The following is a 24911-nucleotide window of genomic DNA, read 5'->3' on the forward strand; positions in this document are numbered from 1 at the left end:
GTTTTACTTATGAGATATTGTGGAAGGTCTGTTCCATTTTAAATCCTTAAGCCTTACCTGTTAATAAAAATGAAACCAAATGAATCTGTTTTTTCATGTGCTCAATTATCTTTCGTTTTTTTTCCGTCCTCCAGATAACTGTACTCTTTATATCCTGTGACTCCCTAAGACAAGCCTCAATTGCTTTTCCAGGCCCCCAGTCTTTGTTTTTCTGATTCCTTTTGTCCATAAACCTTTTCCATACTTGCCTCACCCTTGCAGGCATCTTTTATTCTAGGAGGTGAGAACTCCGTGGTATCTGTCTACATTTTTGTAGAAGAAGAGTGAGCGAGATTTTATTCTCATTATCCTTCTAGGTTTTAATCTTTCTTGGGACTTCAGACAATCCTATAACCTTCTGCCAGCTTCAGGTTTTTTTAATAAGGATTTTTTTTTTTGAGACAGAGGAGTCTCTCTCTCTCACCCAGGCTGGAGTGCAGTGGCGTGGTCTCTGTTCACTGCAGCCTCCAGCTCCTGGGTTCAAGCTATTCTCCCGCCTCAGCCTCCCGAGTAGCTGGGACTAACCAGCGTGTGCCACCACACCCGGCTCATTTTTGTATTTTTAGTAAAGACGGGGTTTCACTATGTTGGCCAGGCTGGTATTGAACTCCTGACCTCATGATCTGCCCACCTCAGCCTCCCAAAGTGTTGGAATTACAGGCGTGAGCCACCGTGCCTGGCCAAATAAGGATTTTTAAAATGCAGTTCTGATTCAGAATAAAATTATCGAAAGTGGAGCTGACCTGTCATTTTGCTCTTGGTGGAAGACTCATGTTTCCAGGACTTCCTGTTCCTGTCACTTCTTGCAGGTGGCTTTTGTCTTTCTTGCTCTCTTAGGCTGTAGGAAAGAGCCCACGCAGATTGTTCCAGAGGGCAAAGTATAGATCATTCCTGCGTGAGCAGCGACTGGCAGCTCGACTACCACTCTGGGTTTCTGGTTTTTTTTTTACACTTGTACCACAGTTTGTCTTGCCACAGATTTTACTATTTTAAGGGTGCTGCCCACCTCTACTGGGGTTCTTTTTTCCATTTGAAGAAATGTCCCAGAAAAGCATGGATTATAGAAAACACCTCCAGATGACGACACAACACCCACTTCTCTTAACGGGATTGTGAAGAGAGGACTCAGTCAATTCTGAAATAACCGCCTACATTGTGAGTTTGTCTGAGAAAAGGGGTTTTTGAGTCCATTTTATAGATGAGACAAGTAAGGTGAAAAACCAGTCAGATGGTTAGTTTTCTGAATTTGCTCCCCCCTTTTGAGTTCAGAGGACATAGAAGTAACATGAACGATCAGTGGAGCCCCAAAAAGGGGAGAAGAAAAGGTTGTAAAAGGGACTGTTGGCAGCCTTTGGAGAGGCTTTTTGCTTGGGAAAGTTGGAAGGGAGGGCAGTTTTGTCAGAAGTGTCCGTCTTCCCTGCATGTTTGTATTTGTTGTTTTTTGAAGAACCAGTTGGTGGAGCTACCCCCTTATACCCAGCTGGCTGTCTCTTTGAGTCATCATTGGAAGACTGACATCCCGTGTCCCTTGGGACTGGATGGTTTGTGCTCTTCTAGTTTTACAAATGCCCCCACCACATTCTTGGGTGTATCTGAGGCCCAGTGTGGGCTGCAGTTCTCCAGACTTGCAGGAACCAGTTTGATTTCCCAGGGCTGTTGACTTTTTCTTGTACTTGTATCATTGCCCCTGACTTTGAGGCTTAGGGGACCATGGAGCACTGGGGAAATCATATGCCCTCAGTCCTCACTAGGGGCTGGGCCATCCATTAAACAAAGGCTGTCCAGATGTGTTAATGAGGCGGTGTGAGTAATGGGAACATTATACATGATTACTTACATAATCATGGGACAGATGCGGGTGTTAGAGAAAGAGGAACCCTACTGGTAGAAGTTTTTGAGAGCTATTCTTGAGAGCTGGTGCTGCCTAAAAGGTCTCAATTGGATTTTAAGTTCTAATTTTGTAAGTCTGTCAAGCTCCACCACCCATGAAGAGGAAGGCCAGTGAACACTGAAATATTATCAACAGCAGTGTTTATTTACCATGCTCCTAGAAGGTTAACAAAATACATAGCCACAGGGCCGGGCGCGGTGGCTCATGCCCGTAATCCCAGCACTTTCGAAGGCCGAGGTGAGCGGATCACTTCAGGTCAGGAGTTCTAGACTAGCCTGGCCAACATGGTGAAACTCCGTCTCTACTAAAAATGCAAAAAAGTTAGCCAGGCGTGGTGGTGGGCACCTGTAATCCCAGCTACTTGGAAGGCCGAGGCAGGAGAATTACTTGAGGAGGATGGAGGTTGCAGTGAGGTGAGTGAGACTCTGTCTCCAAAAAAAACAAAACAAAAAACAAAAAAAAAACACCACAAAAACACACAAAAACAACCACTGTGTAACCACAGTTTTGCCCCTCCATACTCCCAGTAAGAGTCTTCCGTCATACACATTGGTAAACTAGGAATTCTTTTTTTTTTTTTTTTTTTTTGAGACGAGTCTCACTTTGTTGCCAGGCTGGAGTACAGTGGCGCTATCTCATTTTCCTGCCTCATCCTCTCGAGTAGCTGGGACTACAGGCACACACGACCATGCCCAGCTAATTTTTGTATTTTTAGTAGAGACGGGGTTTCACCCTGTTGGCCAGGATGGTCTCTATCTCTTGACCTTGTGATCAGCCCGCCTCAGCCTCCCAAAGTGCTGGGATTACAGGCGTGAGCCACTGCGCCTGGCCCAATTAGGAATTCTTAACAGTAACTTTTTTTCGGGGGAGGTGAGGAGGAGGAGTGAAAAGGATAGGTTGTGTGACTCTTGTCTACCTGGAGACCTGGTTTACTGGGACAGGAGAATGTGGGAGATCTTCTGACACCCAGTTTATTGATCTCTTAAAATCTTGGTGGTTCTGTCTCCATTATTTCCCAGCCACCATTTTGGTGAGAGCTTGGTCTGAAGTGGTAGTGTATTATCTGTTGGTTCTCTCTCGGTTTCAGCCAGCTGTTAGAGTGTTTGGTGCCTGTGGGGGCAGAAACAGGTGCCAGGAGGAAATGAGAAGGGATTAGGGCTGAGCATGTGTTTCTTGCATTTAGTCCTTCTATAGGTTTGCAGAAGGGGGCTGAGTGAATGCTTATTCTGTTAAGCAGCAGACTTTTGTGCTTTGTGTATATGCCTTATTACTGCTACTAAATGGACCTAAGTAATGAAATGCCTCAGATTTGGACAGGCTTGTGAATATATGGGGTACCTCTGCAGTAATGGACAAGGTTGGGAATGTGAGCCTACTTCAAGTTTGGCCTTGTGTTAAACTGGCTGTGTGACTCCAGGCAGGCTATACAACCTCGCTGAGCTATTTCCTCATCTGGACAACTTATTTCATGCACTTCACAGGCTTGTTGCTGGGAGAGGCAGGGGAATTTTTGATGTGAAAGCACTTTGTAAACTGCATACTGCTGCACAAATGCTCAAGGTATTATTACCCAGTTGGAAATCACCAACCTGGAGACATCAGGCCTGCCGGCGGCCTTCCTAGCTGACTCAGATATAAATGAATCAAATGAATTCTGCACTTTGATTCTTAATAAAGCAAGCTGATAGCAAGTAGCAGATGCACATTGGGAAACAGAACAAGGCTTTACGGATTAGAAGGTGATGTAATCACCTTCTACCTCTGTCCTATATTAGCCAACACTTGACTCCTAAATACACCTGGATGGTGAATTGGAAAGAGGGATAGATTGAGAATTAAGACTGGAGTGGCACTGAATCTGTGCACGAAGATGTTTAAAGAAGACATAGTCCTTGAAATTAAAAATCTGATTATGATGTGAACACAATTCTTTAGTGGCTCTCTGGTCCTCAGGATCGAATCTAAACCAACTTTGTTCCCAGCCCTTCTTGATGTACTCTGGGCTTATCCTGCCACCCATCCACTTCACACATCCGGGGCTTCAGCTGAGCCCAGCATTTTATTCCTCTACTTGCTTGGTGAATGGATTGCCTGAGGAGCCCACCGTGTTTGTCTGAAGCCTGTCACCCTGTTCACCCCGTCTGGCAGAGCCAGGCTCTTTCTCCCTGTTGGCTGGTCTCCTCGCACTTTATTTTTAGGTGCTGGAGTTATTTGCTTACATGTCTCTCACCCTATTAACCCCACAAGAGTAGGGGCTGAATTTATGTCATTGTAGGTCAATGTTAATGTCTAATACATAGTATACATTCTAGGAATATTTGAGTTCAAGTTTGGTGGAGTATTTCGAGTACTACTTAGTAGTGGGAGGGAATCGGTATGAATCTAGTGCAAAAAGATAGACTTAACTGATCACAATTTTGGACGCTATAATTTTATAGTTGAGAATTCCTGAGGTTTCTAGTACTGTTGTAAAGTGACCTGCTTGTGGTCGCATATTTTATCAGACACAGCTGGGGCATGAAATCCAGGTCCTGATACAGTAGAAGGCCCTCTCTGTTACTGCCTTTGGAAATACTTTTCTTTTCAGGGGGATTTTCAGTTATTCATGGTAACTGCAGTAATTGATTCATTTTCATGGAAAAATAAAATCCACGTGTAATCCCCATACCTAATTAAGCCAATAGCATTTTACTGTTGTGCAGATGGCCTTTTTTGCTTAATAAGAAGTGATTCAAATCAGACAAGTACTCAAAAGATAGAAATCATTGAAATCACATACTGGACATTCCTCTACTTGCACATACAGTTTTATATATATGGGCCATACTCTTTAAGTGCTGTATTTTTGTTACCTCCTGTTTGCATTTATAACTTGTCATGGTAATCAAAGACAGTGATTTTTAATGGCTTCAAGGCCGTTGGTTGATAGTTACCACTATTTTCTTGACTCATCTCTTCGGGATGGGTTTTTCACAGATTTGGGGCTGTTGTACAAAATGATGCATGCAGCCTGCTTTGCACGTGTCTGTTTGCACTCAACTCTAAATTCTTACTGTGAAATTACTGACTTAGAAGTGCCCGTATTTACGTTTTGATCTTTCCTAGTACATTGCTTTCTTGGAGAGAGGCTATACTAATTTACAGTCCCACAGGTAGTACACGTTAGGCCAGCGGGTTGGTTGGTTTGTTGGCTTTTAAAAAACAATACAGGCATTTGTAACAAGTAGTAAAGATGTCAGTTGAGTTTTATTTAAGTTTCTATTTTCTTCCTGTGTCCTCTCTCAGGGCATTTAGAACTAAATGAGATAAGATATGTGAAAGCACTTTGTAAAACAAAATTGCTCTAAGAACACAATGTGTTATTAGTCAGAACAGCTCCAGAAGGGAAGGGAAAGGGAGAGCCTTGGGTAATTGTACAATGATGTTCTTATTCTTATATGTATGAAATGCTTTTTGTTGTGAGGACATAGAGATACTTAAGTAATAAAGATGACCCCCAATCACATTGTTTTCATATGTGATCTCAGCCTTGTTTGTGAGGTGGGCTTTGTATATTTACGAAGATCCCTTTGGGCTGTGGCTTGGAAGACTGTTCAGTTAAATACAGCTGGCATTTTTTGGTTGCTTACCATGTTCTGACACTGTGTTGGGAGTTTGAAAATACGACATTGCCCTTGTCTGAGGGGCATTTACAGTTTAGTTGGCAGCAGGGATGTGAAACAATGGGAGGAGAGCACTGGCTTTGGAGTCAGTCTGAAGTTGAGGATCTCTGCTCTGTCATCTTGGGTAGATCACTTCACCTCTCCAGGTCTCAGTTTCTTCATCTTTGAAAGGGGGAGAATTGTGCCTTCATTATTGGCCTCTCAAGGTCATTTTGTGGGAGGCTGAATCAAATGTTAAAGTGTGAAGTGCTTTATGAACTGTGACTATAGCCGGACGTGGTGGCTCACACCTGTAATCCCAGCACTTTGGGAGGCCAAGGCGGGCGGATCACAAGGTCAGGAGTTTGAGGCCAGCCTGACTAACATGGTGAAAACCTGTCTCTACTGAAAATACAAAAATTAGCCAGGTGTGGTGGCAAGCGCCTGTAATCCCAGCTACTTGGGAGGCTGAGGCAGGAGAATTGCTTGAACCCAGGAGGCAGAGGTTGCAGTGAGCCGAGATTGCGCCACTGCACTCCAGCCTGGGCAACAGAGTAAGATCCTGTCTCAAAACAAAACAAAACAGCAGAACACCAACTGTGACTATTTAGACCATGTTATTATAAGTCTTACAGATTCTTGTGGCTGTAATTCTCCAAGTGCAAGATTGAAGAGGAAACTGTTTCTGGGTCATCTGTGCTGATTATAGTATATCCCAGTTGTTCGAGGAAGAGGATAGAAATTCAGATAATAAGGGTGCTTAGCACCTTTCCTTCTCACCAAGGCTTGGTTTTTCTTCCTAACTTATGGAAAAATGCAGTGTGAGTCTCTTTACACCCAGACATATTTTTGGATGGATGGGATTTTTATCTTCCCTCTGCCTTCCCTGGTTTGTGAGGATGAGGGTAGTGTTCACAGTGTGACTAAGAAGCAGCATGACTTTTTTGCATACTTTTGAATGAACTACTTTGCCTGCCTTTTATTCTCCAGGCAAGATGTACCCTTAGAGATGAGGTGGAACCTAACACTTGGTTTTACCTAAATTGCCTCCTTTTCCATTCTTACACTGCCCAGAGCACTAAAGCTCTGTTTGTTCTATTTTCAGCTTGTAATAATGTCTTGATGTTGGAGGATGAAAGAGCTGATGTGAATAGAAGGCATTTAATAAGGAGTCATGGTCTGGAGTCCCAGTCAAATTGGTAGCACATGGTTTTCATCTGCCTTGAAGGGCTTGGTTGCATGGTCTTGCCTTCCCAGAGCTGTGACAGCACCAGGCTGGACCCTATACACAATGCCACATCTCCTTCTCAAACTGATGATTTGGAGTGGCAAATGCCACTGGCTTTGAGAGATGCCAAAAGAATGGTGGACTTGGCTTCTTAATCTTTTGAAGATCATAAAATGTTTGCTAGGGCTCGCTCATCTGCACTTAGGACAGGGGTTAGATGGGTATGTTGGGGAGATGAGGTTATTTTAGTGGGGTTTGGTTAACGTTCAGTTTTAACCACTGTTCAGCCTTCTCACTGGGACTCCTAGCTGGTTACATTTTTTTGATGGGGGTTACTTTTATATATTTATGTATTTATGCCCCTCATTCTAAAAAAGGATTTTAAAGCCACGATGAGCTGTCATTCCAGGAGCAAATAATTTTTACTTAGATCTGACTCAAGTTCACTTTCCAAATGCAAAAAAGGGACAGTCAGATTAAACTGTGGACAGCAGAGTAGTTGTTCATTCATCTCAATGCAGCAGTGTTTGGGCCTGGCAGTGTTTTTGCTTTTGGTTTGAGGTCTTGACCTAAAACTTTAAGTAAAGGCAAGTTTTGCTTAATAGTATTGGTATTGACACTCTGACAGATCTTTTAATCTGAAAGAATTTTAAAGATGCATGAAAGTAATCCCCAGTGATGATTACATCTTCGAGTGGCAGAGATCAGATTTTTATTTAAATACCAATGCAGTTTATCACTTTTTTCCACAGTGCAGGGGGCCAGGGAGGGTCTGGATTTGGGAGGGTCTGGATTTAATAGTGAACTTCTGAACTTGACTTACTTTGAGGGGAGCGATTGGTGGGTGTTACTGCATGATTCAGTGTTCTGTGTCTTTAAAAATGTTTTGAAATACTCATTCTGTATTGTAATCCTCAAAACTACTGTTAGGATTCCAAACCATTGTGGTTTAAACTTAGCTGGAATCTAAAAGGTGGCTGACAGAGGGAAAGGAAACCTCCTTTAAATAAAGAACATATTTGGCTTGCCTAAGTGTCCCAGAGTCTGGGCTCTGGGCATATCTAAGCCATGGGCCAAGTCTCATAGTTGAAGAGGTCGGGAAATACTTGTCTCAAATATAAACACCAGCTCAATATAAACACCATCAATTAGTTCTGCAGAAACTCCTGGTACAAATAAGAACTTGCAAAGCTTCATGTTCAATGGAGTTCTTGTCTGGATGAGATAAGGAGTGCAATACTGCACGCTCTTCTGTACTTGTGATAAATCAAAACTCTAATGATGCTATTAAAATGGGTTTTCTTTTGGCCCTGGTAAGCTGGAAAGCATTGGGAGGTGGGGAGGATAGATTTCACTTGGAAATACCTGAAGCTAAAAAGTGGTGGCTTTTTCTTCTTTCTTCTAAATGTACTCCTTGCTCTAATTAAGCGATGTGATCACTGTCCCAACACTGACATACCCCAGGATGAAACACACTTTCTATTCAAGTAGCCTTTTTTTCCCTTGCCTTCTTCCATGAGACTTGCTGAAATTGTCATGTTATTTCTTTCCAGAATTTATTGGAGCATTAGGCAAAAGCCTCTTGGGAGTATAAATAATGATGATTATAAAGAACAGTCAGTTTACCAAGGAAGGCCATTATCTTTGACTTGCAAAGCTTTTACAGCCAAACATTGTTTGCTTACAGTTCTTTAATACAAATGAAGACCTTAATGGTAAGAAGAGTCCTATTACTACTCCCTTTGTACATGGAGGTCATCCCAATAAAGAAAGGACGATGTCACTTTGCTCAGGCATTAACAGCTTGTTTTTCAGGACAGGCATTATATACGGTCTATGAAGGCCTTGGATGGTGTTTTTTCTTCTTCTTCTTTTTTTTTTTTTTTTTTTTTGAGACGGAGTCTTGCTCTGTGGCCTGGGCTGGAGTGCAGTGGCGCTATCTTGGCTCACTGCAACAACCTCTACCTCCCAGGTTCAAGCGCTTCTCTTGCCTCAGCCTCCCAAGTGGCTGGGACTACAGGCGTGCGCCACGACACCCACCTAAATTTTGTGTTTTTTGTAGAGACAGGGTTTCACCATGTTAGTTTGCCAGGATGGTCTCCATCTCTTGACGTTGTGATCTGCCCGCCTTGGCCTCCCAAAGTGCTGGGATTACAGGCGTGAGCCACCCCGCCCGGCCTGGTGTTTTCTCTTCTAAGGAATGTGGTTTCTGCCATCAGCAGCAAGTAATCCTCCTTGCTGAGTGTTAAAAGATTTCTAAAGTTGATAAGGAATACTGAATTTACTTTTGTACTCCCTACTACGTCCTACTGTATATTGTATACCTTATATACAAATTCAGGGATTTTTTTTTTTTTTTTTGAGATGGAGCCTTGCTCTGTCACCCAGGCTGTAGTGCAGTGGCGCAATCTTGGCTCACCACGACCTCCACCTCCCTGGTTCAAGCAATTCTGCCTCAGCCTCCCAAGTAGCTGGGACTACAGGCGCGCGCCACCATGCCCGGCTAATTTTTTGTATTTTTAGTAGAGGCGGGGTTTCACCGTGCAGGTCAGGCTGGTTTCAAACTCCTGACCTTGTGATCCGCCTGCCTCAACCTCCGAAAGTGCTGGGATTATAGGCGTGAGCCACCGCGCCCGGCCCAGGGGATGGTTTTGACTTTGTCTGAGTAGGCACTGACATGGAAAAGGTATGTATAAATGAAGAATCTCATGCCTTTTTTTTTTTTTTGCCTGTTAATTTTCTTATTTTAAAATTTTTATAGAGGTGGGGTTTCGCTGTGTTTCCTCGGTGGGTCTTAAACTCCTGGCCTCAAGTGATCTTCACCCCAGTTCTTCCAGCCTCTTACACCTACGAATCATTTTCTGTCTTTGTGCTTTTGCTTATTCTGGATATTCCATGTGAATGGAATCATATAATATGTGGACTTTGTGTCTTGTGTCTTTTAAAATTATGTTTCTAAAATTCATGCTGGAGTGTGTATCAGTACTTCATTCCTTTTTGTGGCTGAATAACATTCCATTGTATGGATGTATCATGCTTTGTGTATCCAGTCATCAGCTGATGGACATTTGAGTTGTTTCTATGGTTTGGCTATTTTTTTTTTTTTTTTTTTGAGATGGAGTCTCACTCTAGCCCAGGCTGGAGTGCAGTGGCGCAATCTTGGCTCACTGCAACCTCCACTTCCGGGTCCCTGTTCAAGCAATTCTCTTGCCTCAGCCTTCCGAGTAGCTGGGATTACAGGTGTGCGCCACCACGCCCGGCTAATTTTTGTATTCTTAGTAGAGACGGGGTTTCACCACGATGGCCAGGCTAGTCTTGAACTCATGATCCACCCGCCTCGGCCACCCAAAGTGCTGGGATTTATAGGCGTGAGCCACCGTGCCCGGCCCGTTTGGCTATTTTGAACAATGCTGCGGTGAACGTTTGTGTGGAGGTTTTTGTGTGGATTTGTTTGCATTTCTCTTGGAATACCTTGTTAGAAAAGCGTGCTTATACGTATTACTACTAAATTTATTTTCTGTCATTAAGCTGTGTTTCAGTTCATGCCTCTGAAGTGATGTGCTCTGTTCAGCAGAGTCCTATGCTGTGCCCTCCCCTTCTGGGGCTCTAGCTTGCCCTTTGGAGGGTGTGTGTTTGTGTGTGTGTGTGTGTGTGTGTGTGTGTGTGTGTGTGTGTGTGGTAGGGGTCCTCATTTTCCTTACTGCCTGTCACTCTCCATGTCACTGTGGGTGGCCAAGAGTGGTCTCATTTCCTCTACCCCTTTGCAAACCGTAAACACTGGTCACACGTGCTTGTGCTGGAATCATATGCTCCAGTGGCTTGATGGTGGGACTTCAGATTTCCTGCATTACCTTAGGTTTTGACTTTCTTGTGGTTACCTCTGTCAGCATTCTTTGGCAGAGGACTATGGGGAGTAGAATGACCTAGAAATTATCCCTGATTTTCTTCTCCTTCCAAGCCTGCTGAACCAAAAATGGTTTTTATTTTTCTTTGAAAAACTACCCTTCGTAATGAACTCCATTAAGAAATAGGAGTTCTTCAAAGGAGGAGGGATGTTACTGTATTCTTTTGATTTCTCTGAATTTACTAGATTTATTTTCCCCAAGTTGGTGTGAAATTGTTGAGATTGGTCCTTAACTAGAGTCAGACAATTTTTTTTTTTTTTTTTTTGAGACAGAGTCTCACTTTGTCGCCCAGGCTGGAGTGCAGTGGCGCGATCTCCACTCATTGCAACCTCCGCCTTCCGGATTCAAGTGATTCTCCTGCCTCAGCCTCCAGAGTAGCCAGGATTACAGGCACCCGCCACCACGCCTGGCTAATTTTTGTATTTTTAGTAGATACAGGGTTTCACCTTGTTGGCCAGGCTGGTCTCAAACTCCTGACCTCAGGTGATCTGCCTGCCTCGGCCTCCCAAAATGCTGGGATTACAGGCGTGAGCCACCGTGCCCGGCTGGCAATTTTTATTTTTTAGATACAGGGTGTCGCTGTGTTACCCAAACTGGAGTGCCGTGACGTGAACGCAGCTCACTGCAGCCTTAACCTTCCTGGGCTCAAGCGATCCTCCCACCTCACCCTCCCAAGTAGCTGGGACTAGAGCTGCGCTTCACCATGCCTGGCTAATTTCAGGCAATTTTTAATTGTTAGAAAAACTGTAAGGCAACATAAGAGAAGTGGATGGTGGGGACTGCAAATGTCATGTGGCCTAGTGGTATTGAGAAGCATTTTGTGAAGCAGAGAGTGCGTGTTCCGATTCTGTAGGAGCACATGTCTTGGTGTGGGTGTCTTTGCCTTCCTAGAACTTCCTGATGATAAGAAGCCTGTAAACACCAGTGTGTCCGTCAGTATTTGGAATCTTGTTTATTACATAGTCCTCAGGTTCATTGTCAAAAAATTCTTTACTGATGGTATTAATCAGTATTTGGAATCTTATTTATTTCATAGTGCTCAAGGTCATTGTCAAAAAATTCTTTACTAATGGTATTAATCATGCTTCTCACACTCCAGTTTTTCTGGTATGGTTTTCTGTTCCAAATTGACTCCTGTGCTCAGGTCATTAGTTTGGCTTACTAACAGGAGCCCTGACAGCTATATTCAATATTTTTCTCTGCAGTGGCCAAGTAGCCAAGAATTTACTAGTTTAGACACCCACCTCAGTTTAGAAGGTAGGTGTGAGTGTGTGTGTGTGTGTGTGTGTGTGTGTGAGAGAGAGAGAGATAGAGAGAGAGAGAGAATATCTAAGAAGGAGTTAATATTTTAAACTTTGCATTGTTTAACTGGAAATCTGTGTTCTGCCGGGCCGCTTTTATGTGGTGTACCTATAACCTATACACATACTTGTGCCTTTCAAAGGCTAACGCCACATCCCTCCTACTAAAATTGCTTATTAGAGCTAATTTTAAGAATTGAGTTAGAACTGCCCTATAATGTAATGCAGAATATTTCCCAATAATGCCTAGGTTAACAATGATAGTCTTGCTGTATTGTGCAAAAAAGGCTTCTGTTCAGACCCAGCTGGGTTTCAGGCTTAATTCATTGCTCTATGGTGGGATCACCACAGCTGCTGTGGGGCCTTTACAAATGCAAAAAAGCTGTCAGTGTTTGTTTCATCAGCTGCATAAGTGATGAGGCCAAGTTGAGGAATCCATTCCAGTGCGCAGTGTGCAGGCTGTAGCTATTATTGTTTACAGAATTAGTGTGTTGGAGCTTTAAAATAGTTGGCACATCGTCTGCCCTTTAAAAGCACAAGACTAAGGAATGAGACCAGTTGGTTGTCCTTGTAATGTTGGCCGGATCCAGCCCAGCCCTTGTCTTTTAACAGCTACTGCTCCGGGCTGTGCTGTGGGACTTGACTACTCTTTGGAGGAAGTGGGGGTGCTTGCTGAGTTCTTGTCTCTGTAGTTCTGCATCCCAAACTTAGGTTTGCATTAAAAAAAAAAAAACAAAAAAAAACCACGCAGTCATTTAGAGTTCCATAAGTGTAATTGAGATTTAAAGCCTTAATCATCCTCCCAGCCCCAAATAGGTATAGGACTGTCAGCTGGGATTTCAAATATCTGTGCAGTAACATTCCAGATTTGGCTCTGTGAGATTTATTTTGTGAAGTGATACTGCTTTGGGACTTGCCCTCATCTCTCCCCATGGGTACAGAAGTTAAGGCTACTTCTTGGCTGGCAGCCAAGAAGCCAGGAAAGCCCCATTGGACAGGTCACTTTCCAGGCAATTAAGGAGTATTCTGCAGGGCTCTCCGTGAATGCTGTCTTAACAGTGTAAGGTGACCCTCTTCCCCAGGGACCTGATGAGCCCGGGCAGCATGTTCACTTGCTTTTGGACTGGGCAAGCAGGAATCTGGGACCAGCATCATGGTCATTCACAGGATAGTGTGGGATTGTCCCAGCCCCTCCCTCATTTACATTCAGACCCCTTCTCCACTCAGGGGTCTCTGCCTCATGGAAACTGGAGGGCATGGGCGGTGGCTGGTCTGTTACGGTTTTGAAAGTGGAGCTCATCAGGTCTCCTAGCCAACGGGGGTGAATAATTGTGCTTCCTTCCTCCCAGCTGGAAAAGGTCCCAAAGTGCTCTCTCATATTCATAAAAGAGATGGCACGAGGCTTAGTGTCTCCAAATTAAAGGTCAATACTGATCAGCTTTCTCTCAAAGAACTGTCACATATGCTCTCCTGGAGACATTTGTGTCTTCCCATTTTACCTTAGGAAGTCTCTGGAGCCCAGGAAGACAAGTGTGTCCGATGAATCTCCTGTGGTGTTGGTACTGATTAAGCAGAGTTTGGGGATCCTTGTATGGCCCCTCTTTTAAAGAGCTTTTTAGCACGGTCTCTGCCAAGTATATTTTAACTATTAGTTACAATGATCTTCCAACAGAGAGCAAACAACATAAGTAATAGTTTAGAGTTTTACTTCTTAACGTCTTCCCAAATTCCTTCTCTTTCTCTTTCTTACCTGCACCCTGGAATAGTAGTAATGAAAAGGAAAATAGCAAACCGTGAGCTCCATATCCTCTCCCGCTGGGGGAAGGACTAATTTGCAGGGCCTCATAAGGAAACAGCAGTTTCATGGTCATTGTTGTCAGCCTAGCAGCGCTTGGTTGCACTTCCGTTGCTCAACGTGTTTCTCCTGGCTAGGGTGTTTGTAGTATATTTTGAGTTTTAGGAATCTTTCATCAAAGTTTCTTCTGCTTTTTTGTCATTTTAAGGCAAAACATTTTCTTTTGGTAGCTTGAAAGTTCTACACTCTCAATGTTTAAACATTTTTTGGGGGCAGGGTGAGAAACAGCTTTGTGGACGCATATCTGATTGTGTGTGTTTGTTATTTCATGTCAGAGTCATCTCATGACCCCAGGAGACCTCGCCAGTGGCCTGCCTCCTAGAAAATGCACTGCTGTAATAACAATCAGGGCGCCAGCTGACCACTGGTTGTCCCTCAGCCACTTATTAGCTGCATGTCCAGGAGGATCACCAGGCCGTGGTTTAAATTCTCAGTGTTCTCCATTGTAATGTGGGGTGCACGTGCGTCCCTGAGTGGAGATTAGGTGCTCTAATAGGCACAACTGTGCCCCTTTCATTGTAGGCATTCTCTTCCACCTGTATATTAGTATTGCTTCTAGCTGCGTGATCGAGGGTTTGGGTTAATGCTGACATATTGCAACTTACTGGATGGCAAACAGTTAAGTTGTCTTCTTTGGCTGTGGGGAGAGATGGTGAATTCAACACTCTGAAACTCTGAACACAGTGTCCAAAGAGACCCTGGGCTTCCTGGAGTGTTATTCTCTTACTCTCCTAAACTATTCTCCCACTCCCATGAAAAAGAAAATCTTAAAGCGGCTTATCAGTATCTGACATAAGACAGAGTGAGGCCTTTCCTTTTATCTACATAGAGATAGCTCAAAGATCTGCTTGAGGGGCAGCAAAAGGCATGTCAGCAACCACCAGGAAAGGATCCTGAAGCCTAACCAACTGGTTATAAACAGCAGTAGGTGCCCAGGAGGGAACCGATACCTTCTGCAAGAGCATCAGTTGTGAAATGGCCTAGGTACAAGGATGTTCTTAGAATCAGGTTTCAAATTATAGTAACATGTAGACAGACTCTGAATGCTCTGGGAATGGAGTAAGCTGGTTCTAGTGAATTTTCTGGTTGACTGTTTCAAGCCATGGCATTAACTCCTTATGAAGGATATTTTTTGGCTGTCCTGTCTTCAGAAGTCCGGTGTGACGCGCGAACTCAATGGTTGCGTTCCCGAGGACCTTATGGAGTGCTTCCTGTCTGTCTGCCAGTGCTTTGTTACTGTGCACCTCTGTAGATATGCAGTAGGGGGTTTTTGGGTGGTGTGCATGCTGATCCCCAGAGGGTTTATATTTTACCTGCACTCCTGAGGATGTGTTTGTGTTGCTTGGGGCCCTGAGAAAAAACTGCATTCAGCGGAGGATTTAGTAAGAAGAAAGTTGGTTCCATGAAGTGTACATCAGCAGCCCCCGAGGATGCTGTGGGGTTGCAACTCCTAAGGCTTAACTGCGGCGGGGATCGGTTAATAGTATGGACAACCCCACACCCCAGAACAGGGGATAGGTGATGGACGACAGTGGGACACCATACCTAATGTGCATGCCTGCTTCCTAGAAATTGTGATAGTGTGGTGACTCTTTCCTTCTCTGAAAAGACCAAACCCCATCACTTAATATGGAAATTTAAAACCAAACCTCCAAACCCTTCTGACAGCATTTTTGACCAAATTGGCTTTTCGTAAGGGTAGAGCTAGATTTTCCGAAGAGCTTTAAAAACACAGCCTAGAAGCTTATCTTTGTGAACTTTTGCTGTTGTCAACAGTGGATATCTTGCTGCTGCTAATAGAAAACAAAAAAGTTCATTTGCCAAAATGCTTGTCATTTCCTCCTGAGGAGTGCAGCTTAACGCCAGGACTTCATTTAGTCAGAGGGAAATGGTTGCTACCTCCCTGTTAAGCTTCTTTCCATTATCCAGTTATGGCAGAATGAGTGTTGGGGCGGCCTGGGGAGATGGGGGTAAAATAAAGGAACAGCTAAGAAGTGGTTCTGCAGAATGTGTACTTATATCCGAAAGCCTGGATGGAAAGGACGGTGGCTTTGGAAGGGGTGTAAAATGGGAGGGGGTGGCAATCGCTGAAGCATGACAAGCCTCCGAAGGCCTCTGGGACTTGAACACAAAAAAGGGAGCTTTTTGCAGCTCTTTCACATGCACACGTCTCCCTCTGCCCCATCCATCCTCCCCTGCTGTTTTGTAAATCTCCCAGTTGGAAATTTTTAACATGGGAGAGCTTCTTCCTGTGCTTCAGTTGGCAGAATGCTCACACGCAGCTGCAAAGAATTTGCTTTTCCTTTTCACAGCATCTCTCATTTAAAAGCATTAGTGAGACTACAGAACAAAATAAAAACTTCAGGATTTTTCAGAAGTGGAAGCCAAGTTTAATTAAAGTCAAGGAAGTTCGGGGCTCTAACTCTTTTGTTAAACCTCTTAAAGTCAGGCGTGTGCGTGTGCCCATGGCAGGCAAGGTAGGAAATGCCAGTGCCTGTTTCTCGTTAGGAAATTTAAAGGCCTACTTGTCTGGTGTGTGCTTGGGGAATGTCCTAGAATTTATCAAAAGATGTGCTGAACCATCATGTCTTTGGTGGCCTCAAAATGCTTGCCAGTGGTGAGGTAGTTGCCCCTTTCTTGAGGGAGGAGGAAAACCGTTAAATAGCTTTCTGTCTCCTCCCAGGCCTCTGTAAAACCTCCTAATCTGAGTGCCCTGTTCCCTGTGCTCCACCCTTAGTCCCTAGACCAGGCCACTGGGCTGTGAGCATTCTTGTTGGGGGGGGCGGAAAGAAGTTTCTGACTCGATAACTGCCTCCTAAAGTTGGATTTTTAATCTTTCAATAGTATTTGAACCTTCAGCATTTTTTACATTTTATTTTAAGAGACAGGGTCTGTTGCCCAGGCTGGCGTGTGGTGGTGTGATCACAGCTTATTACTGCATCCTTGAACTCTTGGGCTCAAGAGATCCTCCTGCCTTCCCTGCCCCACCCCCTAGTAGCTGGGACCACAGGTGCATGACACCACACTTGGCTAATTTTTAATTTTTTTTTGTAGAGATGGCTATTTTAAAATTTTTTTTTTTTTTTTTTGGTAGAGATGGGGTCTAGCATTGTTTCCCAGGTTGGGTATGAACTCCTAGCCTCAATCATCCCACCTCAGCCTCCCAAAGTGATGGGATTACAGGTGTGAGCCACCTTGCCTGGCCCAGTTTCTTTGTCTAGGAGCCTTTACAAACATTTGCAAAGAATATCCAGGCAGTGTTTATGTATGTCTGCAGTGTTTTTACTGGCTATATAGACCACAGAGTCCAGAAGTGACTTGGATGGGATCCCCAGGAAGGATACTTAGAATTTACTTGACAGACTGAAGATTGGTAAACATGGTCTCAAGTTGAGTTTTGCTGGGAAATTGGTTAGCTTCGCTGCAACCTTGTCATTTCTTTCCTGAGTAATTATATGCAGACATTGGTAGAGGTTTTTTGTTTTTTCATAAAGAATATTAACACAAGGGTTGTATACAAAGGGAACATACTCATTTCTTAGTCTTTCTGTAGATCCTAGCACTTGTAACTGATGAAATGATTTGCCTCAGGGTCGATCCTTCCTTCCTTCCTTCAGTCCGTCCATCTGTCCGTCCGTCCTTCCGTCTTTGATGGACTTTCACTCATGTTGCCCAGGCTGGAGAGCAATGGTGTGATCTTGGCTCACTGCAGCCTCCACCTCCTGGGTTCACGCGATTCTCCTGCCTCAGCCTCCGGAGTAGCTGGGATTACAGGCATTTGCCACCACACCTGGCTAATTTGGTATTTTTAGTAGAGACAGGGTTTCTCCATGTTGGTCAGGCTGGTCCCGAACTCCTGACCTCAGGTGATCCACCCGCCTTGGCCTCCCAAAGTGCTGGGATTACAGGCACGAGCCACTGCACCTGGCCTGCTCAGGGTTTTTCTTGGTCTTCATGTATTTGATCCTATTGGTTAGGTAGCTGCAATCCCTTGCCCTCATTTTACAGGCATAGAATGGGTACTTTATTTAGGAAGGGTTATGATTGCGAGTCATGTCAGGTTACCAGAACTTGAAACTCTACCTTTGGACTTAGCAGTGACTGTGTTATTAAGGTGTTGGCATTTCCTTTAGGTTCTTGCTCTGCCTTGAAAAAGCTGACCAGAGGCCATGCATGGTGGTTTCACCTGTAATCCCAGCACTTTGGGAGGTCAAGGTGGGGAGATCACTTGAGCCTAGGAGTTTGAAACTAGCCTGGGCCACATGGTGAAACCCTGTCTCTACTAAAAATAGAAAAAATTATGGTGGTGCACACCTGTAATCCCAGGTACTTGGGAGGCTGAGGCAGGAGAATGGTATGAACCCAGGAGGCAGAGCTTGCAGTGAGCGGAGATCTTGCCACTGCACTCCAGCCTGGGCAACAGAGCAAGGCTCCCTCTCAAAAAAAAAAAGGAGAGAAAAGAAAAAACTGTGGGACCTTGGGCAAATCCCACACTTTGCTTTCCCACAGTTGTTTTCCTTAGCTGCAAGTATTGTGTGATGGGAACACAGAGTTCCCCTCCAGAATGCTATGATTTTTGTCTTTCAGAAGTTTGTAGCCTTTCATTTTATTTCATTTTAGTTCTACAAATATTTATTGTCTACTTTGTATACTTGTCCGATTGGAGATTGTTTTCTCAGGTGGTAGGGAGGGACATGTGTAGGGGGCATGCAGGATTGGGACCAAGGGAGGTTCAGGAGGGCTTGAGGCCAGTGGGTTCTAATCACACAAGGATCTTGTTAAAATGCAGCTCCTCATTCAGCAGGACTGAAGTGGGGCCTAGGATTCTGCATTCTAACAAACTCTCAGGGCCTACACTTCGTGTAGCAAGACTTTGGGACTGATTTTGTTCTTGGTGCAGTGGTTCGCTTCTTTTTTCTTTTTTAAATCTCACATCTCTGTCCCAACCTGAGCATCGAAGGGTAGGGTTCCCAATAAGATCTCTGCTACCAACAGAAGTTTGAAAACTATTGTTATAGAAGATCCAGGCCTGATGTGGTGGCCCATGCCTGTAATCTCATCACTTTGGGAGGCCAAGGCATGAGGCTTGCTTGAGCCCAGGAGTTCGAGACCAGCCTGGGCAACAATAGTGAGACCTCATCTCACCTTTTTCTGAACCAGCAGGGACTGAAGAGACACTCTCCTACAGTATAAAGATGTTTAAAAACAGTGATGCGGGCCAAGCACAGTGGCTCATGCCTGTAATCCCAGCACTTTGGGAGGCTGAGGCTGGCAGATCACTTGAGGCCAGGAGTTAAAGACAATCCTGGCCAACATGGTGAAACCCCATCTATACTAAAAATATAAAAAGTAGCTGGGCGTGGTGGTGTGTGCCTGTAATCCCAGCTACTCGGGAGGCTGAGGCAGGAGAATCGCCTGAAACTGGGAAGCAGAGGTTGCAGTGAGCTGAGATCATGCCACTGCACTCCAGCCTGGGCGGCAGAGCGAGACTGTCGCCTGTAGTCCCACCTACTCAGGAGAGGTTGAGGCATGAGAATCGCTTGAACCCAGGAAGTGGAGGTTGCAGCGAGCCAGGATCGTGCCATTGCACTCCAGCCTGGGCAACAGAGTTAGACTCTGTCTCAAAAAAACGAAAAAACAGCAGAAAAACAAAAAAACAAAAACAGTGATGCAATTGTAAGGCTTGAGCATTGCTTGAAAATGCATCTTTTGGCCCCGTGGCCCTCTATGTTGTCCTTTCTGAAGACCATTCTTCAGTTTTCATTCTGGAAGGAAGACAGCTAGCTATAATGCGTTGCCTGCATAGTGTTATCATGTACTTCCCAAAGCTTCCATGTCTTGCTTTAGTAGACAAAGAGCAGTGTCAGGAATTTCTGCGTAGAGCTCTTACTGTTTTGCTGGTTTCTATCCTGAACTCACCTTGAAAGCTTATATAGTTTTTAAAAAAGAGAAGTTGTTACTGGATAATAGCTACCATTGATTGAATGTATACCTACCCTAAATGCTTTACACAGACAGCATTTTACGTATTCACTTCTTACCACAACTCTGTGACTTAGCCATTTCCCCCAAATTGCAGCTGTGGAAACAAAGCAGGTAAAGGGGCCAGGGTTGGACCCCCCTACCACTACTTGACCCCAAATCAGGATGTTTCACTTTGGAGCCTGTGTTTGATTTCACTATCCTGGAAGGTGGTATTACCTCAGGTTTATGCAGCCATAGTCCTGGGTTTGAAGCCTGCCTCTGTCACAATCTCTGTGCCTCAGTTTTCTTATCTGTAAAATGGATGTGATAATTATAGTACCTGGGCCACTCAATTTTGCGTGGCACTGGCTATACATTTTATTTGTTGTTATGATTTTGTTTATTATTCTTGCCATAGTCACTAAGTTTATTTTCTTCTCCCTGCTCCCATTGGCTCTTTAAAAATCATTCTCTAAAATGTTAAATTAGCAATCTTAATGATTTTTCTTCCTGGAGTTAGGTTAAGAGGTTATATTTGTGTTTTCTTATCAACCTACAAAATAAAGCCTAGTAAGTTGCCATCTATAGAGAAAGCAGTTAGGGGATTCAGCATATGGCATTTACTAGATTTTGTTGGGTCCTCATTTTTTACGTGCTAAGTTTCCTCATGTGGGTGGGGAGGATGCCTTATGCCTGGAAACATCGCAGTTGCATGTAGTGGTCTCCCCTACCCTTATTTTAAAATACCTGAGTTTTATTTGTGAGCTATTGAATACACTTAGCGGGGCTCTCTGTAAACATACCCTGAATTTAATAGCCAAATGATGTACACATGGGATGTGCACATATAATCTCTTTTCCAATTGTCCCTGCTATATTTTCTTCCTTGACAAACTATAAAACCAAGGGAATGATTTTCAACTAATGGTTGTGTTCTTTAAAAAACTGTTTTTCAGCCAGATGTGGTGGCTCACGCCTGTAATCCCAGGACTTTGGGAGGCCAAGGTGGGTGGATCACCTGAGGTCAGGAGTTCAAGACCAGCCTGACCAACATGGAGAAACCCCATCTCTACTAAAAATACAAAATTAGCTGGGCATGGTGGCGCATGCCTGTAATCCCAGCTACTTGGAAGGCTGAGGCAGAAGAATCGCTTGAACCTGGGACTTGTGGGTTGCGGAGAGCCAAGATTGTGCCATTGCACTCCAGCCTGTGCAACAAGAGCGAAACTCTGTCTCAAAAAACAAACAAACAAGCAAACAAAACAGCTGTTTCTCAGGGTAGTTTTCTTGAAGCACGATTTTTCGAAATGTTGTAAATTAGTAGGACCCTGGCTTTGAGTCAGGATCCTAGATGGAATGAAATGACACCTAAAGATTGGTGTCATTCTTGGGGATACTCACTGAAGAACATACTGCTCCATTTTCTTTTCCCTTCTGCATTTCTCTGAAAAATTTTGTCTATATCTTTTTTTTTTTTTTTTAAGATGGAGTCTCGCCCTGTCACCCAGGCTGGAGTGCAGTGGCACGATCTCAGCTCACTGTGGCCTCTGCCTCCCGGGTTCAAGTGATTCTCCTGCCTCAGCCTCCGGAGTAGATGGGACTATAGGCGCCCGCCACCACGCCTGCCTAATTTTCTGTATTTTTAGTACAGACGGGGTTTCACCGTTTTGGCCAGGCTGGTCTTGAACTCCTCACCTCAGGTGATCCTCCTGCCTTGGCCTCCCAAAGTGCTGGGATTACAGGTGTGAGCCACTGTGCCTGGCCTGCTTCTCTATCTTTGAAAAAGGAGTTTTTGGGGGGCATTAAGGAAATTTGTCCCTTTTCATTTTAGATAGTTTTGGGGGATGTCTTTAATGTTTTTTTGTGGTTCTTTAGAGGTAGGCATATGAAGACACTGGTGCATTTTTATCTGCTAGAGAAATGGGATTGTTTTTAATTTTTACAGAGAAAAACTAAACATTTATATGCATTATTTAGTATTTTGTTCTGAAGAAACATGCTCTATTTGTAAAAGAGGAAATGTGTGGGAAAAGGGCAATTTGGCATGCTGTTGCATTTGCAGATCCAAATTTATTTTCCTTCATTCAGATAATTTAACACAGGCAAATAAGTGATGTTTCCAGAGTGGCTTCTTATATAGCAGCCCAGGAGGTGAGTGGGAGATTTCAGACCTCGACTTTTTGTGTGTGAAGGGGTGACTTAGCCAGGGCAATATTGTGTTGGCCTCTTTTTGATTCTGGGTTTTTTTGTTGGTGGTGATCCTGGGCACCTTCAGTCTTTGGTTCAGCCTGGGAAGGAGACTTTAGAGGTATCCACTCCCCCTTTCCCAGTTTTCTCCTGATTCTTCCTTCTAGTCCTTGTGCATATTAGTGGGATTCTTAAAAAGCCACTGACAATCTGATGGTCTAAAGCTCCACCTGCAGTTAGAAAGAAGCTGGTCAGCCTTCTGGAATGTTCTTTCTCCACTGGAGGCTAGTGAGCACCTCCAGACTAAAGGAGGTTTTGGTTGCGCTTTTAGCTTTGAGGAGGTCACTGAACTTCAAGAGCCCTTCTGGTTTCCCATTTTGTGTGATAGGATTAAAAACCTCTGTTTTGTTGGGTTACCTCCATCTCTGTGACTTGGGGTGACAACCTCGGACCAGTGGAGAAGGTGTGTGGGCAGCAGGAAGAGCTGTTTGATCTCTCCTTGCAAAATGTTTCTGGGCTCAGGTTCAAGAGTGGAGAAACCCTCTTGAACATGGAACAGTTGGCTCTTGGGGTCAGTAGCAAAGACAGGAATGAGCTGGAAAACTTTGTCCTGACCTAAAAGGAGGTTACATAGACAGGGTTTTGGATCTTTGGTGTTTCCTTTTTTACAAAGGCCATGTGCACAGCTGTACTTCCAGAATTGGAAAATTTCCTACATACACAGCTTCTTCATTAGATACTGATACCGGTTAATTCACAGTCACCTGTAATTGGAAACAGCTGCTGTTTCCCAGCTGACTAGGTGTTCAAGTCAGATGCTTTGAATTAGCTGGACTTGGATTATTCACATTTTAATTAAAGTCCATTTACCGCCCCCCCCGCCCCCCCCCCCGTCTTTTGCCTCTTCAATGACCAGGTTTTTACAGTAATACATTTGAAATTACATGAGTATCCCAGTAGAAAGGCATAATGTAAGTTCAAGGACTTGCAGTTGATTATGGCGTTACATTATTAAATAGTGAATTTAACAGCATTGCAATTCCCTTTTCTCACCCACTGAACCTTGCCTCTCTAGTGGGGAAAATTTCATTCCATTTAGGAAAGTTGAGACTTTTGTCCCCTTTCCTTCTCTTGGGACAGAGTTGTATTAACCTAATTGCTTGTGTCACTGCTACAGGGAAGGTACTGCGTGAAGTGGGACAAGCAATTTTCTGGTACTTTTTGTCTAATGGGGTTTGCAAATTAAGCCATGACTAGTGGGGATATTTTCTCAGAAGGGGGAAAAAAGTTAACAATTGCTATGGTGTGGCTGTTGTCCAGTGCTTCTGTATTGATGTAGAATGTTCACTGAGCAGCTTGTAGGAGAAAAAGACTGCCTTAATTTTTGGGCAAAAAGTTAGAAGGGAAATTGCTTTGCATTTTTCTCTCCATAATGTTAATGAGGAAAAGAGGCAATGCTGGAGGAAAGGAGATAAATGGATGTTTCCTCCCTTCCCTATTTAAGCTGCCTAAGTTGACTAAAGTTCGACTTGATAAATGTCCTAGTTAATTTAATTTTGTGTTAGTGCCTCTCCTCCCCTCGAGTGTCCAGTCCATTTTCAGCTGACTTGCAGAAAAACCAGGTTAATGCAAATCCATCAGATTCTGCATGCCTGTTAAAATGCTTAAGCATTCTACATGGCGTGGGAGACATGATGCTTGCCTAAAAGGGTCCCTGGAGAGATAAAGTATATTCCTGCCAGTGCATTTAGGGAGTTATACATATATAACTGTCTCATATGATTTGGCATTGTCACATACTGAGCACTGGGAGAGCCAAAGGAGGTCTGGGGTTGGTAGGCTGTTTGGAGGTAAAAGTTTACTACTGGAATAGTCCTTCCAGCTCAGCCGCTTCCATTTCCACATTGCCTCAGAAGTTGCCTAAAGGATGTGCATCTTGTTGGCAGCCCCATGACTTTCTAGAAGCCCTGTTGTGTCTGTTTAGTGCTTTCTACATTAGGTCGGAGATCTTTTTTCATTAGGTCAGAGATACTGGACTCCTTTTTGTTATGGAAATAACAGTCTCTTGGGGTTCTCTGGAATGAGCCAGGGGGTCCTGTTGGCCTGGTCCTTGGAGGAGAGGTCCAGGCTGTTGCTTTCAGTATCCATGCCACCTAGAATTTCCAGTGACTGTTGAGTCATTACATTGCTATGGTAGTTTCTTAGGAATAGGCCGGTACAATTTGATTGTGTTTTTGGACCTTCCCCCAAGTTACAAGGCCACCAGCACTCAGACTGTGGGTATACCATATGGACCAGGGAACACATTGGACAAGGCGAAAGCTTGTTACCATGAAGTTCGTTAGAAGATGAGACTCCATTCAAATTTTCAGTTCTTCATGAATGAGTTCTTAGTAAAAGTGCTTTGTTGATTTTTTTCCATGGTAGTAACTACCATGTTTTGAGTGCCTTGTTAAGTAACATAAGTACATAATATTCTCACACACTTTTGCAAAGCAGAATCTATTATTTTATTTTTACAGATGAGCAGATAGGGCTTTGGAGAGAGAAGTGGCCTGAAGTAGCACGCAGTGTGGGTGGCTGGAGTATATGCAGGGGCTGGAGTTACAGCCCAGTTTTCTTAATTGCTTTGATTTTATTTACCTATTTTTTATAGAAACAGGGTCTTGCTATGTTGCCCAGGCTGGTTTGGAACTCCTGGGCTCTAGCAGTCCTTCTGCTTCAACCTCCCAAAGTGCTGGGATTACAGGCATGAGCCACCGTGCTCTTGGCCTTAATTGTTCTGATTTTAATAATGGCATGATACCCCTGTACCCCAAGTTATACAGATGAGAGATTTTGGCTCTGGTATCTCTGTCTCTATCCTGGGTAAGGTTTCTCAGGGTTGTAGGCCAGTCTCT

General features: G+C 44.0%; 1 protein-coding gene across 14 annotated transcripts in view, besides 7 other annotated features; it reads left to right on the top strand.

Moving 5' to 3' along the window:
• Window positions 1-24911, top strand: part of JARID2 (jumonji and AT-rich interaction domain containing 2) — a 275974-nt gene that overhangs the window by 6573 nt on the left and 244490 nt on the right. The gene's annotated exons all lie outside the window — the stretch shown is intronic.
• Window positions 1807-1876: an enhancer, noted in NCBI's record as "active region_24066". NCBI's record gives its function as "activates an Ori minimal core promoter by ATAC-STARR-seq in GM12878 lymphoblastoid cells {active_cell/tissue: GM12878}" and the evidence as "EXISTENCE:reporter gene assay evidence [ECO:0000049][PMID:35858748]".
• Window positions 12077-12586: an enhancer, noted in NCBI's record as "OCT4-NANOG-H3K4me1 hESC enhancer chr6:15264949-15265458 (GRCh37/hg19 assembly coordinates)". NCBI's record gives its function as "activates a minimal SCP1, AML or CMV promoter by ChIP-STARR-seq in primed H9 embryonic stem cells {active_cell/tissue: H9 hESC(primed)}" and the evidence as "EXISTENCE:reporter gene assay evidence [ECO:0000049][PMID:30033119]".
• Window positions 12592-12731: an enhancer, noted in NCBI's record as "active region_24067". NCBI's record gives its function as "activates an Ori minimal core promoter by ATAC-STARR-seq in GM12878 lymphoblastoid cells {active_cell/tissue: GM12878}" and the evidence as "EXISTENCE:reporter gene assay evidence [ECO:0000049][PMID:35858748]".
• Window positions 14726-15284: an enhancer, noted in NCBI's record as "H3K27ac-H3K4me1 hESC enhancer chr6:15267598-15268156 (GRCh37/hg19 assembly coordinates)". NCBI's record gives its function as "activates a minimal SCP1, AML or CMV promoter by ChIP-STARR-seq in naive H9 embryonic stem cells {active_cell/tissue: H9 hESC(naive)}" and the evidence as "EXISTENCE:reporter gene assay evidence [ECO:0000049][PMID:30033119]".
• Window positions 15285-15842: an enhancer, noted in NCBI's record as "OCT4-NANOG-H3K27ac-H3K4me1 hESC enhancer chr6:15268157-15268714 (GRCh37/hg19 assembly coordinates)". NCBI's record gives its function as "activates a minimal SCP1, AML or CMV promoter by ChIP-STARR-seq in naive H9 embryonic stem cells {active_cell/tissue: H9 hESC(naive)}" and the evidence as "EXISTENCE:reporter gene assay evidence [ECO:0000049][PMID:30033119]".
• Window positions 15843-16401: an enhancer, noted in NCBI's record as "OCT4-NANOG-H3K27ac hESC enhancer chr6:15268715-15269273 (GRCh37/hg19 assembly coordinates)". NCBI's record gives its function as "activates a minimal SCP1, AML or CMV promoter by ChIP-STARR-seq in primed H9 embryonic stem cells {active_cell/tissue: H9 hESC(primed)}" and the evidence as "EXISTENCE:reporter gene assay evidence [ECO:0000049][PMID:30033119]".
• Window positions 16402-16959: an enhancer, noted in NCBI's record as "NANOG-H3K27ac hESC enhancer chr6:15269274-15269831 (GRCh37/hg19 assembly coordinates)". NCBI's record gives its function as "activates a minimal SCP1, AML or CMV promoter by ChIP-STARR-seq in naive H9 embryonic stem cells {active_cell/tissue: H9 hESC(naive)}" and the evidence as "EXISTENCE:reporter gene assay evidence [ECO:0000049][PMID:30033119]".

The sequence above is a fragment of the Homo sapiens genome, chromosome 6 (genome assembly GCF_000001405.40).
Source record: "Homo sapiens chromosome 6, GRCh38.p14 Primary Assembly".
NCBI classification, from domain to species: domain Eukaryota; kingdom Metazoa; phylum Chordata; class Mammalia; order Primates; family Hominidae; genus Homo; species Homo sapiens.